The sequence below is a fragment of the Homo sapiens genome, chromosome 11, assembly GCF_000001405.40.
Source record: "Homo sapiens chromosome 11, GRCh38.p14 Primary Assembly".
NCBI lineage: Eukaryota > Metazoa > Chordata > Mammalia > Primates > Hominidae > Homo > Homo sapiens.
In genome coordinates this window covers 127,086,280-127,102,475 of record NC_000011.10, presented here as the reverse complement: position 1 = coordinate 127,102,475, position 16,196 = coordinate 127,086,280, and the positions used below count along the sequence as shown (strand labels likewise).

General features: G+C 38.7%; 1 long non-coding RNA gene across 1 annotated transcript in view, besides 1 other annotated feature; it reads right to left on the bottom strand.

Moving 5' to 3' along the window:
- Nucleotides 1-1,169: 1,169 nt before the first annotated feature.
- Nucleotides 1,170-16,196, bottom strand: part of LOC101929473 (uncharacterized) — a 34,305-nt gene continuing 19,278 nt past the window's right edge. Inside the window, exons 2-3 of the long non-coding RNA NR_120578.1 lie at nt 3,871-4,044; nt 1,170-3,202 (exon numbers count right to left, since the gene is read on the bottom strand). This is a non-coding gene — a long non-coding RNA (uncharacterized LOC101929473). The remainder of the gene's footprint in view (nt 3,203-3,870; nt 4,045-16,196) is intronic.
- Nucleotides 1,663-1,903: a silencer, noted in NCBI's record as "fragment chr11:126970468-126970708 (GRCh37/hg19 assembly coordinates)". NCBI's record gives its function as "represses an EF-1alpha promoter that drives an FKBP-Casp9 reporter gene in an ReSE screen in both phorbol 12-myristate 13-acetate-treated (for megakaryocytic differentiation) and untreated K562 erythroleukemia cells {active_cell/tissue: K562 | K562(+PMA)}" and the evidence as "EXISTENCE:reporter gene assay evidence [ECO:0000049][PMID:32094911]".

Here is a 16,196-nt window from a genome sequence, read left to right as displayed (position 1 = left end):
TATCCCCTCAACTACTCCACAAAGAAATATGTGGTGGAAATACCAAGAAAATGAGTAAAGCAGAGATTGCTATGTGTCACCCACTGATCTGAGCTCTCACCAGAACCAAGAGAGGTAGGTACTATCATTCTCCCCATTTTACAGGTGAGGAAATTGAGACTCACAGAGGTTAAGTAATTTGCCCAAGGTCTTTCAGGTGAGGAAGCTTGGAATCAAACCTAGGCGGTCTGGCCTGAGAGTCTGTGTCCATGAGGGAGAGGAGGAGAGGGCAGGGAAGGGGTAAGGGGATGTTGTGTAAACAGGAAAATGAGAATGCTGGTGAGCAGGCAGAGTGGGTCCCAGGAAAGACACTCTTTAGCCTCAGCCTCTCATTTGTATACATCTGTTTCTAGGACCAGCTAGTGTGTTGCTTCTTAGGGAGCATGATGTCAGGTGTGTTCTCTCCACCTGCAAGGCAGCAAATGACGAACTTTGTCCTCCAGGTAAATGTAAAACTTATTCCCTCACCTGTCAAGACCAGTGGGTAGAGATGCCTGGCTGCCAGTCTACATATGCATTCCACAGAGCATGCTGGAAGTGAGCTCAGGCATTGAGCCTCCCAGTACCTACCTTTCTCCTCTGTACACACACACACACACACACACACACACACACACACACACACACACACAACCCTCACCTTAGGGCTCTGCCACAAACATCAGCTGCTTCCCCTCAGCAGGGAATGGCGAGGGTCACCCTGTGTCACGAGGACAACCTTCCTTCCTGCGTCCCTTCCTCACCCACATTGGCTTTTGAAAACCAGGCAGATGTATTTCAAATCCCTTTTGTTTTTCACTGAACAAAGAAAAAAAATGTCCCTGTCATTGTTCACTGTGCTGTTGCTTCCTCCTATTAGCTCTGCTAAGATGCACCCAAAGAAAATACAAGTGCATACAATTAGCAATGGAAATTATTAATAGGAGCAAGAGATTCAGTCCATTCTACAAGTAATTCTGTAGTGATTTTAGTAATTGATAGTAATTAAACACTAATTAATTCATTTCCTAACTAATGTATTTACTTTATTTATGGGTATTCACTTTAATTACACTTGTTTGCATTCCTTGGGTTAAGTAACACAAATTTACTCTCTTTTCTGAAAATATTTATTTGGGCTTCTTTAAGTCGTTCTTTGAGAGTGTGTGAGAACAAAGACTAATTGCTTTGAATTGCAGCTAAGCACATTGATTTCTTACTTTGGAATGTGGAGCTAATGAAAAGTGAAGCTTTTCTGACTTCTCGGTTGGGCCTTATCTTCTTTTACCTCATTCTGGTCCAGCTGTCTGGCAAACAGTCTCTCTGCTTTTTTTTTCAGAAAAGATCTGGGAATAAGTTGCACATGGACCTGAAACATCAGGGAATAACAGCCCCACCTTTGGGCCTCACTTGCAATAAGCAGGATGAGCCTGGAGAGACATGGCAGACATGTGTCTGTTCTTTGGGTTGAGTGGTCATTAGCTATTTCAGTAAGACTCCCAAGACTGGAAGCAAAGCGCTGAGGGCCACCCAGCCCGCTTATCTCTCCCTATTGGCCATGTGGTCTGTCTTCAGACACTGCTCCTGAAGGGCATTCTCTTGATATTTCACCTCTGAGCAGCTCCAACTCTTAGAAATCCTTCCTCACACTGAGCCTACATCTATCACTTTAAGATGATCTTCCTCCCTGCCCAGCCCCACCCCGACCTGCTCTACTCATAGGGCCACAGAGAGTAAGTCCAATCTCTAATCCAAAGACCAGCCTGTCTGACACCTCACAATTTACATGGTGGCACCAGGCACTCCAATTTGTTTAAGTATTCTCATGTAGAATATTTTATTCTACAGCATCCTGTTTGCTGAAGGAAGTCCAGCCTATTTGCATCCTCCCTAAAAGATGTGACTGGCTATGATCTGACTATCGCAACAAAAAATAGAAATGATCTCTTTCAGTCAAGACTCTGTATTTCCATTAATGACTGCATTAACTTGGGTTGTTCATATAACAATAACTCCTTTGAGTTTTTAGCAATAGGCAGTGTGATGAGGGTTCCTGAGATCTGTTATGAATAATGGGTAAGTCAAAAGTATAACAGAGACTCTAGGTTACAGAAAAAGTTTAGAAATTCTAGCCTGGACATCAGCTCTACATAAAGTAGTTACTCCTTTTGGCCCATTTTGCCTTCCTTTTTAAAAACATTTTGAAATATTTAATTGATAAATAAAGATGGAATATATCCAAGGTGTACAATGTGATGATTTGTTATACATATGCATCGTGTAATGAATGTCACAATCAAATTAATTAACACATCCGTCATCACCCATACTATATAGTAGAGCGCCAGAACTTGTTCATCTTATAACTTAAAGTTTGTACCCTTTAACCAACATCTCCTCAATTATCCCAAGCCCTTGACAACCACTATTCTACTCGCTGCTTCTATGAGTTTGACTTTTTTAGATTCCACATGTAAGTGAGATCATGTGGTTTTTGTCTTCCTATATCTAGCTTATTTCACTTAGTATGATGTCCTCTGGGTTCATTAATGTCTTGAGAAATGACAGGATTTCCTTCCTTTTTATGTCTGAATAATATTCCACTGTATATGTGTACCATGATTTCTTTATCCATTCATTTGCTGATGGACACTTCGATTGCTCCCATATCTTGGTTATTACAAAAAAGGATGCAATGGATATGGGGTGCAAATATCTATTTGAGATACTGATTTCATTTCCTTTGATTATGTGTCCAGAAGAAGGATTGATGGATCATTTGGCAATTTTATTTTTAATTTTTTGAGAATCCTTCATATTGCCTTTGATAGTGGCTTTACCAACTTACATTCCCACCAACAGTGTGCAAAGATTTTATTTTCTCCTTACCCTCACCAACACTTCTTTCTTGTCTACTTGATAACAGCAATCCTAAACAGCATGAGGTGATATTTTATTGTGGTTTTGACTCACATTTCCCTGATTATAAGTGAGGTTGAGCATAATTTGTTTTATACAAAATTATGTTCCACCTCAGACTGCCCAGGAGCAAAATTGGTGAGGGGCCAACAACTGGCAGAAAACCTGCAGGATGAGGGTGGAAAATATGTCTACAGTCACGATGGATTGTTTTGGCAGCAATGTTGTCCTTTCATTGTGCAAGACTCCAATTCTCCCCTTCATCCTGGGAAGAGAAGGAAGACAAGGTAAGAGAGCAGTGACTGAAACCAGAAGGGACAGGAAAATTAGGGGTGGGTCTGTCTTCTGGGAAGTCCTGAGATGAATGTCTGTGAAAAGTACATGACAATGATAAAAGAGGAAATCTCATATATACTTAATACCTACACCTCGGGGGCCTCCCCATGATGCCAAGTTCACATGCATCATTTTTTTTTTCACTGTAGGGCAGTGGAAGGGCTAATTGGTCTGGATGAAGAGACAATGAGAAATGAAGGCTCTGCAGCAGGCTCATTGCTCATTCACTGGCCTCTGTAGCTACTGGGGTCCTTGTATCTGATGCCAGAGCCTTACGAGAGGAAGGGAGTGGAAGGCCAGGGAAGAAGAAGCCAGAGGCTTGGGCCAGGAACTGTCCAGCCAGGAAAGTGCTGAATCAGCCCTCACCTCTGAACTTGGAGGGTCCATGGAAGCTGCTGCCAGGACCTAACCTCTGGAAATACACCTTTCCAAGGTGGGTAGGAAGTGGTGGAAATAGCCACACAACCAAATTATTACAGAGTCATAATTGAAGTTTAAGCTGCTAAAAGAGTTATGTTGGAGAACGGAGTGGGCCACAGTGATGGAAGAAAGCCCCATTCTAAGCCTAGGGAAACACACGTTCTTGATAGAGGTTACCTGGATACACAAAGGAGCAGGATGGCAGGAGTGATCATAATTTCCTTCTGTGGTTGATGGAGCTTCTTCTCCATTCGGAAGATAGTCCTTGACTTCCAATTTCCTTATTATTGCTTGGCCCCGTAGAAATTACTTCCATTCTATAAAATAACTCCTGCCTGGCTATCTTTGAAGCTGCAAAAGGAAGGATTTTCAACTATGTAGAAGTGAATGTAGCAGTAATACAGATGTGTTTGCATTTTAATAAAAATCGTGTGTGTGTGTGTGTGTGCATGTGCACACCATCTACAGATACACAGATGTGTGTGGTTTGGTCTTATCAGCATTCAGTGTAGAATTTGCATCTCCTAACCAGTTCAGGATCCAGAAAAGTAGCTCTTCATAGAAGAATTCCATTCCTAGCCAGCCGGCTGTGAAATACTGTACCTGTTCCATAAAGACAGGCCTGTTTTCATCCCTTAAGCACACACACACACACACACATACACACACACTCATGTGACCCAGGCATGCCGCAAGGGAAATCGGCTAAGAATTCTCATGACAAAGTCTGTGAAGAGGGGAAAAAAATCAAGGTTCTTTGAATTTAGTTTTTTTATGAACTGGAATGAGGTTTCAGGACCAGAATCTTTAACATATTGTTTTATAATTAAAGAAGGAAGGCAGGAAGGCAGGCAAGGTGAGTGGAGGGAGGGAAAGGGTGGGAGGAACAATGGGAGGAATGCAGTCACAGAGGAGTGTGCCTCATTCAATAACTGTTAAATGAAAAATAATAATTATGGGAATAAAGTGCGCATGACCAACATATAGGCCAAATCATCTCATCCTCTTTGCCTCTCTCATCATCTTTGGAAGAGTGGCATTTAAGTATTGACTGGAGTTACATCCCCTGAGCCATCCCTCACTGGGATTGGGTTCTGAGAGTTTAATGCTAACTAAACTTTAAGGAAATGAGAGCCTGAAAGAGAAACGAAATCAAATGCAATATAATAGAGAAAAATGATGAGACACTATTAAGAATTAAGTCCATTATCCTATTAGTTGCTAAAGAGGATTCTTTGCCTTGGTTTCTTGTCCCAAATTAGTTCCTTTCCACATTCAATATGAGTTATGTATTTGACTAAATTTAGGTAAGAAGATTCCTAACCCAGAAAAATAAGCAGAACACAGTCCATCCTATTTAAAAAGAATAATTCAAATGGGTAATAAAGTGCCATCCCCACCATTCGGTAGAGTATATGCTGGAACAAACTAAATACTCTGACCAGCCTTCTGCTCAAAATGCGTTTCATATTCAAGAGGCTAATTACTGAAAGGCCCTCACTGACATGAGGAAGAACCGGAGCAAAGCAAGTCACCTAGTAATTCCACACCTATTGAAAGACTCGAGGCCTAAAATGAAGCAAAATTTGCTGAATACACCACACAGAATCAAATCAAGGTTCAGAAACCAAGCTCAGGCTTTAAGGAATCAAAATAACCATCAAGAAAACATTTTGTTGGATATCCATTTGTTCTGATATATGATGATTCTTCTTATTGCTGTCTCCTGATTGACAACTTCATCCCATTTCTTTTCTAGTCCCTACTTATATAATACCTTCCCCCTCAAAACACTCAGATATACACTCACAGGCGTGCACGTGCTTGTGCCCATGTAAACATACCATCTTCATGCACAAAACTAGCTGTTTCTCTTCATGTATTGCTCTTCTATCTATGCTTGACACTATCAATCATCCTCCCCTCCTTGGTTACTGAGACACTATCTCTCTTCTGTTTTCTTCCAACTATGTGAAATTGAATATACCAGTAATCTTAATATGTGTGAATTTTAGTCTAAACTGTGTGTGTATGTGTGTGTGTGTGTTTGCGTGTGTGCTCATGCACAGGCTAGCTAGAGACAATATACAGATGTGTTTCTACCTCTTTGTTCTCCTTCCTCTTTTCCCTCATTCTGAATGTAGATATTTAACTCTGCCAGCCCTTTAATCCTTCCTCTGTATCTTTTCTCTTAACAAGGCATTCACTTTTAAGGCTTCCATTAGCCCCTCTGTAAATATGATCGTCAAATTTAACTTCAGTTCTGAAATCAGTCCCGAGTGCCACTTCCAAACGTTCAATTATTTGCTGAAGTTTTCCACCTAAATGTTCCCACCAGCACGGTAAACTCAACACATGCCAAACTAAACTCACCTTTCATCCTTTACCCCAATCAAAAAAGAAATAAGCTTTCCAGGCTGTGTTCCTTATGTGTGTTATGACATCTCCATCATCTCAAGCCCCATAACCTCGTCATCATCTTTCCCTTTTTTGAGCTTTGTCAATGTTGAGTCATTCATATTTCCTTTACCAACCTCTGCCACCACCCTAATTCACACAATCCTTATTCATTTGGATTACTGTAATAGCCTCTTAACTACTTTTGATGCCTCTAGTCTTCTACATCTCTAATTTGTTTTACAGATCCCTACAAAGTGATCTTCCTAAAGCACTACTCCGATTGTCTTACTGATCTGTCTCAAAAACATCCTGTCTCCTGATACACAAGATCCAAAATTTAAGCTTCCTTAATTTGAACCCAGAGTTCCCCACAATCTAACATAGACAGATCACATCTATCACCCTCCCTTCACCCAGCCCAGGTGTTTCGGCCAGGCTGAACTGCTTGCTATTCACTATATATCAGCATTTCTAGGTATGTGCCATTGTCCCACGGGTTCACTCAACCTGGAGAGCAGTGTTCATTTCCACAGGTTCAAATCCTTTGCTCAAATTCCATCTCCTCCTAGGAGTTATCCCTGATATCCAGCTGAAAGCGAGGTTATATCCCTCTGCTCTCATTTTATTTATTCCTTTCCTGACCCTAATCATTTTCTTGTTCTTTTCAACTTTTATTTTAGATTCAGTGCATACATGTGCAGGTTTTTTACCTGGACATATTAAGTGATGTTGAGGTTTGGGGTACAAATGATCCCATTACCCAGGTACTGTGCATAGCACCCACTAGTTAGTTTTTCAACCTTTTGCCCATCTTGCCCTCCCCCTTCTCATAGTCCCCAGTTTCTGTTGTTGCCATATTTGTGTCCATGTGTACCCAATGTTTAGCACCTTCTTATAAGGGAGAATATGTGTATTTGGTTTCCTGTTCCTGCATTAATTCACTTAGGATAATAGCCTCCAGCTGCATCCATGTTGCTGCAAAGGACATATTTCATTTTTATGGCTGCATAGTATTCCATGGTGTATATGCACCACATTCTCCTTATTACATCATCGATTGGCACCTAGGTTGATTTAATGACTTTGCTATTGTGAATAGTGTAGTGATGAACATATAAGTGCATGTGTCTTTTTGGTATAAATGATTGTTTTGTTTTGGATATATACTCAGTAATGGGATTGCTAGGTCAAATGGTTGTTCTGTTTTAAGTTATCTGAGAAATCTCTAAACTGCTTTTCACAGTGGCTGAACTAATTTACATTCCCACCAACAATGTATAAGCATTCCCTTTTCTCCACTGCCTCACAAGAATCTATTGTTTTTAGATCATTGTTTGAGATAGATCTTGCTCTGTCACCCAGGCTGAGTGCAGTGGCATGAACGTGGCTCACTGCAGCCTTGACCTCCTGGACTCAAGCAACTTTCCTGTCTCAGCCTCTTGTGTAGCTTGGACTATAGGTATGTGCCACCACACCCGGCTATTTTTTTGGTCAATTTTTATCTTTTTTTTTTTTCATTTGGAAAGATGAAGTCTCATCATGTTGCCCAGGTTGGTTTTGAACTTCTGGACTCAAGTGACCCTCCTGCCTCTGCCTCCCAAAGTGCTGGGTTTACAGGCATGAGCCACTGCACCTGGCCTTGACTTTTCAATAATAACCATTCTGACTGGTATGAAATAATATCTCATTGTGATTTTGATTTATGTTCCTCTGATGATTAGTGATGTACAGCATTTTTTCATATGTTTGTTAGCCACTTGTATGTCTTCTTTTGAGAAGTGTCTGTTCATATCATATGCCCATTTTTCGATGATATTATTTGTTTTTATGCTTGTTGAATTGTTTAAGTTCCTTATAGATTCAGGATGTTAGACTTTTGTCAGATGCATAGTTTGTAAGTATTTTCTCTCATTCTTTAGGTTGTCTATTCTGTTAATAGTTTCTTTTGATGTGCAGAAGTTCTTTTGTTTAATTGGGTACCAATTTTCAATTTTTGTTTTCACTGGAATTACTTTTGAGGACTTAGACATAAATTCCTTCTCAAGGCCAATGTCCAGAATGGTGTTTCCTAGGTTTGCTTCTAGGATTCTCATAGTTTGAGGTCTTACATTTAAATCTTTAATCCATCATATGTTGATTTTTGTAGATGGTGAAAAGTAAGGGTCCAGTTTTATTCTTCTGTATATGCCTAGCCAGCTATTCCAGCACCATTTATTGAGAGTGTCCTAAAAAAGGGGAGTGTCCAAAAATACTGTCTATTTTTGTCAACAACAGATTGATGTAGGTGTGTGGCTTTATTTCCAGGTTCTCTCTTCTGTTTCATTGGTCTATGTGTCTGTTTTTGTACCAGTATTATGCTGTTTTGATTACTGTAGCTTTATAGCATAGTTTGAAGTAGAGTAATGTGATGCCTCTGGCTTTGTTCTTTTTGCTTAGGATTGCTTTGGCTATTCAGTCTCTTTTCTGGTTCCATATGAATTTTAGGATAGTTTTTTTTCTAGTTCCCTAAAAAACAACATCAGTAGTTTGATAGGAATAGCACTGCATCTGTATATCGCTTTAGGTAGAATGTCCATTTTAATGATACCGATTCTTCCAATTCATGAACATGGCATGTTTTTCCATTTGTTTGTGTCATCTATGATTCATTTTGGCAGTGTTATGGATATTTTATCTCCTTGGTTAGTTACATTTCCAGGTATTTTATTTTTTGTGTGGCTATTGTAAATGAGATTGCATTCTTGATTGGGCTTTCATCTTGAATGTTATTGACGTATAGAAATGCCACTGGTTTTTGTACATGGATTTTGTATCCTGAAACTTTATTGATGTCATTTATTAGTTCCTGGAGGCTTTTGGCAGAGTCTATAGGGTTTTCTAGGTATAGGATTATATCATCCATGAGGAGAGATAATTTGACTTTTTCTTTTTCTTATTTGGATGCCTTTTATTTCTTTCTCTTGCCTGATAGCTCTGGCTAGTACTTCCAATACTATGTTGAATAGGAATGGCCAAGTGGGCTTCCTTTTCTTGTTCCAGTTCTCAAGGGGAATGCTTCCAGTTTTTGCCCATTCAGTATGATGTTGGCTGTCGGTTTGTCATTGATGGCTCTTATTATTGCGAGGTATGTTTCTTCAATGCCTCATTTCTTTGAGGGTTTTTATCATGAAGGGATGCTGGATTTTATTGAGAGTATTTTCCATGTCTATTGAGATGACCATATGGTTTTTGTTTTTAATTCTGTTTATTTAGTGAATCACACTTATTGATTTACATATATTGAACTGACCTTGCATTCCAGGAATAAAGCCTACTTGATCATGGTAAATTAACCTCTTGGTATGCTGTTGAATTCAGTTTGCTAGTATTTTGTTGAGGATATCTGCATCTGTGTTCATCAGGGATATTGTAGTTTTCTTTTTCTGTTGTGTCTTTCCAGATTTTGGTATCAGGGTGATGTTAGCTTTATAGAATTAGGGTGGAGTACCTCCTCATCGATTTTTTTGGAATAGTTGCAGTAGAATTGGTACCAGCTTTTCTTCCTATGTCTGGTAGAATTAGGCTATGAATCCATCTGGTCCAAGACTTTTCATTGGTACAGGCTTTTAATACTGATTCAATTTTGGAACTCCATATTAATCTGTTCAATGTTTTAATTTATTCCTGATTCAATCTTGGGAGGGTATGTGTTTCCAGGAATATATTGATTTCCTCTAGATTTTTTAGTCCATGTGCTTAGAGATGTTCATAGTACTCTCTGAGAATCTTTAATATGTCCATGGGATCAGTTGTAATATCACCTTTGTATTTCTAGTTGTGCTTATTTGGATCTTCTCTCTTTTTTTCTTTGCTAATCTAATCTAGCTATTGGTCTAGTGGTTTGGTTTATTTTTACAAAAAAAAACCAACTTTTGTTTTCATTAATTTTCCTTGCTACCTTTGGGGTTAGTTTGTTCTTGTTTTTCTAGTTTCTCTAGGTGTGATGTTAGAATGTTAATTTGAGACTTTTCTAGCTTTTTGAAGTAGGCATTTAGTGCTAGAAACTTTCCTCTTAAAGGCTTTTGCTGCATCCCAGAGATTTTGGTATGTTGTATCTCTGTTTTTATTTACTTCAAACTTTTTTTTAAAAAATTTCTATCTTAATTACATTGTTTACGCAAAAGTCATTCAGGAGCAAGTTGTTTAATTTCCAGATAATTGTATAGTTTTGAGAGATATTCTTGGTATTGGTTTCTATTTTTATTCCACTGTGGTCCAAGAGTAGAGTTTGTGCGATTTTTTTTTAAGTTATTGAGAGTGCTTTATGGCCAAGCATGTGGTCAACCTTGCAGTATGTTCTCTGTGCAGATAAGAGAAATAAGTATTCTGTGTTTGATGGGTGGAGTATTCTGCAGGTATCTATTATGTCCAAATGGTCAATGTCAAGTTTAGAATTTCTTTGTTAGTTTTTTGTCTCAATAATCTGTCTAATGCTGTCAGCAGGGTGTTGAAGTCTCCCACTATTATTGTGTGGCTATCTAAGTCTTTTTGTAAGTCTAGAAGTTTTTTATTTTCTATTTTTTATTTCAGTAGTTTTGGGAGAACAGGTGGTGTTTGGTTGCATGAATAAGTTCTTTAGTGGTGATTTCTGAGATTTTGGTGCACCCATCACCCACACAGTGTATACTGTACCCAGTGTGTAGTCTTTTATCCCTTACCCCCCCACCCTTTCCCCAGAGTCCCCAAAGTCCACTGTGTCATTCTTATGCCTTCGCGTCCTCAGAGCTTAGCTCCCAATTACGAGTGAGAACATATAATGTTTGGTTTTCCATTCCTGATTTACTTCACTTAAAATAATAGTCTCTAATTCCATCCGTCTTGCTGTGAATGCCATTATTTTGTTTCTTTTTTATGGCTGAGTAGTATTCCATGGTGTGTGTGTATGTGTGTGTGTGTGTATATATATATACACACATATATATGTGTATATATACACACATATATATGTGTATATATACACACATATATATATATCACACAATACATATATATATGTGTGTGTGTGTATATATATATATATATATATATATATCACATTTTCTTTATCCACACTTTGATTGATGGGCATTAGGGCTGGTTCCATATTTTTGCAATTGTAAATTGTGCTGCTATAAACATGCATGTGCAAGTATCTTTTTCATATAATGACTTTTTTCCTCTGGGTAGATAGATACCTAGTAGTGGGATTGCTGGATCAAATGGTAGATCTACTTTTAGTTCTTTAAGGAATCTCCACACTGTTTTCCATAGTGGTTGTACTAGTTTACTTTGCCACCAACAGTGTAAAAGTGTTTCCTTTTCACCACACCCACACCAACATCTACTATTTTTTTATTTTTTGATTATGGCCATTCTTGCAGGAGTGAGGTGGTATCACATTATAGCTTTGATTTGCATTTCCCTTATAATTAGTGATGTTGAGCGTTTTTCCATATGCTTCTTAGCCATTTGTATATCTTCTTTTGAGAATTGTCTATTCATGTCCTTAGCCCACTTTTTGGTAGGATCGTTTTATTTTCTTGCTAATTTATTTGAGTTCTTTGTAGATTATGGAAATTAGTCCTTTGTTGGATGTACAGATTGTGAAGACTTTTCTCCCACTCTTTGGGTTGTCTGTTAACTCTGCTTTACGGCCAGCTTTTGCTGTGCAGAGTTTTTTAGTTTAATTTAGTCCCATCTATTTATCTTTGTTTTTGTTGCATTTGCTTTTGTGTTCTTGGTCATGAAGTCTTCACCTAAGCCAATGTCTAGAAGGGTTTTTCTGATGTTATCTTCTAGAATTTTTATGGTTTCAGGTCTTAGATTTAAGTCTTTGATCCAGCTTGAGTTGATTATTGTATAAGGTGAGAGATGAGGACCAGTTTTATTCTTCTACCTGTGGCTTGCCAACTATCCAAGCATCATTTGTTGAACAGGTATACTTTCCCCACTTTATGTTTTAATTTGCTTTGTCAAAGATTAGTTGGCTATAAGTGTTTGGCTTTATTTCTGTGTTCTCTATTCTGTTCCATTGGTCTATGTGCCTATTTTTATACCAGTACCATGCTGTTTTGGTGACTATGGCCTTATAGTAGAGTTTGAAGTCTGGTAATGTGATGCCTCCAGATTTTTTTCTTTTTGTTTAGTCTTGCTCTGGCTACGCAGGATCTTTTTTGGTTCCATATAAATTTTAGGATTTTTTTTTCTAGTTCTGTGAAGAAGGATGGTGGTATTTTGATGGGAATTGCATTTAATTTGTAGATTTCTTTTGGCAGTATGGTCCTTTTCACAATATTAATTCTACCCATCCATGAGCGTGAGATGTGTTTCCATTTGTTTGTGTTGTCTATGATTTCTTTCAGCAGTGTTTTGTAGTATTCCTTCTAGAGGTCTTTCACCTCCTTGGTTAGGTATATTCCTAAGCTTTTTTGTTTTTGTTTTTGTTTTTTGGTGGGATTTTTTTTTTTTGCAGCTATTATAAATGTGGTTGAGTTCTTGATTTGATTCTCAGCTTGGTTGTTATTGGGGTATAGCAGAGCTACTGTTTTGTGTACATTAATTTTGTATTCTAAAACTTTGCTGAATTCATTTACCAGTTCTAGAAGCTTTATGGATGAGTCTTTAGTGTTTTCTAGGTATACAAACATATCATCAGCAAACAGTGACAGTTTGACTTCCTCTTTATTGATTTGGATGCCCTTTATTTCTTTCTCTTGTCTGATTGCTCCTGCTAAGACTTCCAGTAATACGTTGAATAGAAGTCATGAAAGTGAGCATCCTTGTCTTGTTCCAGTTCTCAGGGGAAATGCTTTCAACTTTTGTCTGTTCAGTATAATGTTGGCTGTGGGTTTGTCATAGACAGCTTTTATTACCTTAAGGTATGTCCCTTCTATGGTGATTTTGCTGAGGGTTTTAATAATAAAGGGATGCTGGATTTTGTCAGATTATTTTTCTGCATCTGTTGAGATGATCATGTGATTTTTGTCTTTAATTCTGTTTATGTGGTGTATCATATTTAATGACTTGCAGATGTTAAACCATCCCTGCATCACTGGTATGAAACCCACTTGATCATGGTGGATTGTCTTTTTGATATGCTGTTGGATTCAGTTAGCTAGTATTTTGCTGAGGATTTTTGCATCTATGTTCTTCAGAGATATTGGTCTGTAGTTTTCTTTTTTTGTTATGTCCTTCCTTGGTTTTCTCTATCCTGTGGAATAGTGTCAATAGGATTGGTACTAATTCTTCTTTGAATGTCTGATAGAATTTAAGTGTGAATCCATCTGGTCCTGGACTTCTTTTGTTGGAAATTTTTCAATTATTATTTCAATCTTGCTGCTTGTTATTGGTCTGTTCCAAGTTTCTACATCTTCCTGGTTTAATCTAGGAGGGTTGTATGTTTCCAGGAATTTATCCATCTCCTCTAGGTTTTCTAGTTTATGCACATAAAGATGTTCATAGTAGCCTTGAATAATCTTTTGTATTTCGGTTGTATCAGTAGTAATATCTCTTCTTTCATTTTTAATTGTATTTATTTGGATCTTCTTTTCTTTTCTTGGTTAATCTCAATAATGATCTACCAACTTTATTTATCTTTTCAAAAAACCACCTTTTTGTATTTTTGAAAAATAAATCTGAGTGCTCCAATGTTGGGTACATATATATTTGTAATAGTTACATATTCTTGTTGAACTTAACCATTTATCATTATGGGCCCCTGATCTCACTGTCCGTTTTTAGTGTAGTTCTTTAAAGTTTGTTTTATCTGATATAAGAATAGACCCCTGGTATTTTTTGTTTTATTTTTGCATAATAGAACGTTCCTCAACTCTTACTTTGAGCCTGTGGGTGTCAGTACTTGTGAGATGGCTCTCCTGAAGACAGCAGATGGATGGGTCTTGTTTTTTTAGGCAACTTGCCACTCTGTGACTTTTGAGTTGGGTGTTTAGACCATTTACCTTCAAGGTTAATGTCGATATGTGAGGTTTTGATCTTGTCATAAAATTATTAGCTGATTGCTTTGTAGTTTCTATTGTGTGGTTGCTTTATAGGGTCTGCAAGCTATGCACTAAGTGTGTTTTTGTGGTAGCAGATTTCTTTTCTTTTTATGTTTAGAACTCCTTTAGGGATCTCTTGTTAGACTTGTCTAGTGGTAACAAATTCCTTTAATGCTTGCTTGTCTGAATACACTTTTATTTCTCCCATGTTTATGAAGCTTAGTTCGGCAGGGTATACAATTCTTGATTGGAATTTCTTTTCTTTACAATGCTAAAAACAGGCCTCCCATCTCTCCTGACTTGCAATGTTTCTGCTGAGAAGTCAACTGTTATCCTGCTGGAGATCCTTTTGTATGTGATCTGACCTTTATCTCTAGTTGCCTTTCAGATTTTTTTCTTTAGCATTAACTTGATGACTATATGCCTTAGTGATGTTCATTTTGTGTTGTATCTCATAAGTCTTCTCTGGATTTCTTGTATATGGATGTCTACATCTCTATCAAGATTAGGGAAATTTTCTTCAATTATTTTCTCAAATATGTTTTCGAGGTTATTTGCTTTTTTCTCCTTCTCTCTCAAAGATTTTGTTTAAAAAATTTTTCTCTGTATTTTTGTCTGGCTGAGTTAGTTCAAAAGACTGGCCTTCAAGGTCTGAAATTTTTTCTTCTGCATAGTCCTGTCTATTGATAAAGCTTTAAATTGCATTTCAAAATTCCTTGAGTTTTTCTATTCCAGAAGCTCTGATTGATTTTTCACAAGATTAATCTGATTGAAGTTTATCTCTTCTTTCCTTTCCTGGATTGCTTTGGAAGTTTCTTTGTGTTGATTTTCAACCTTGTCTTGGATCTCATTGAGCTTTCTTGCAATCTATGCTTTGAATCTTTTATCCATCATTTCTGAGTTTCCATTTGGTCTGGGACCATTGCTGGAGACATAGATAGTGTGATTCTTTGGTGATGTTACTACATTCAGAGTTTTCATGATGCCTGAATTCTTGCACTGGTTTCTTCTCATCTCCAGATGCTGGTACTTCTAATTTTTTTAATTATTTTTGTGCAGGTAGGATTTTTTTCTTTTTCTTTCTTTCCCTACTGTATTATTTTTTCCTTCCTTTTCCTTTTCCCCTCTCCTAGAGGTTGTGACTGTAGAGGATGCTAGGTAGTGTCTTTTGGCTTTGCTTCTATAGCCCTATGTATTTCTTTTGGTAGGTTTCATATTGGGCTATGCCATTTAACCTATAAGCCAATATATGGCACTTATAGATATGAGCCTGCTATGGCCAATATGGCTGGGATATACTTTATTCTGACAGAAGATCTCTGTTGCCTCTGGGTTGATTCATGGAATGCACCATGGTCTGAGCCCCCTGCTCAACCCCAGGGAGGGCAGGAGCCACAAAAGGCAGGGTCAGACTGGGAAGGTCCACCTACATCAGGTCTTATGATGGCAGGCACAAGCACCAGCACTGAGGGAGAATCCAGTGGGTGGCCACCAAGTGCCTAGAGATGTACTTATGCATGGAGCTGAGAAACCTCCTCAGCACCAAAGTCTCTGCATGGGGATGAGGGCAGCCTAAACTCCATGAGAGTAGGTGATCCAGATGCCTGGAGATCTGCCTGGGCATGGAGCACAGACAGCCCCTGCACCAAGATCTCTGCACTGGAGGGTTGGAGTGACTCAGGCTGCTGATGCAGTCAAGCAGGTGTTTCAAATGCCTGGAGATCTGCCTGGATGTGGAGCACAGAGGGACACCCCACCCCATACCAAGATCTTCACACAGGAAGGGTAGGGTGGGTCAGGCTGCTGATCTAGGTGAGGGGGTGCTTCAAATGCCTGGAGATCTGACTGGGCATGGAGCAAAGCTGCACCATGATCCATGCCCAGGAAGGGTAGAGTGGCTCAGGCTGCTGCTCCAAGCAAGTGGGTGCTCTAAATGGCTGGAGATCTGCCTGAGGGTGAGTTGGAGAGGGCCCCATGCACCATGACCTTAGGGGAGCAGGCTGGGACACCTAGCAATGTCACATGCAGACTGGTTCCAGGTTGCCAAACTGGCTCTGGCTGCAAGTCGCACCACCCAGGAGAAACTGC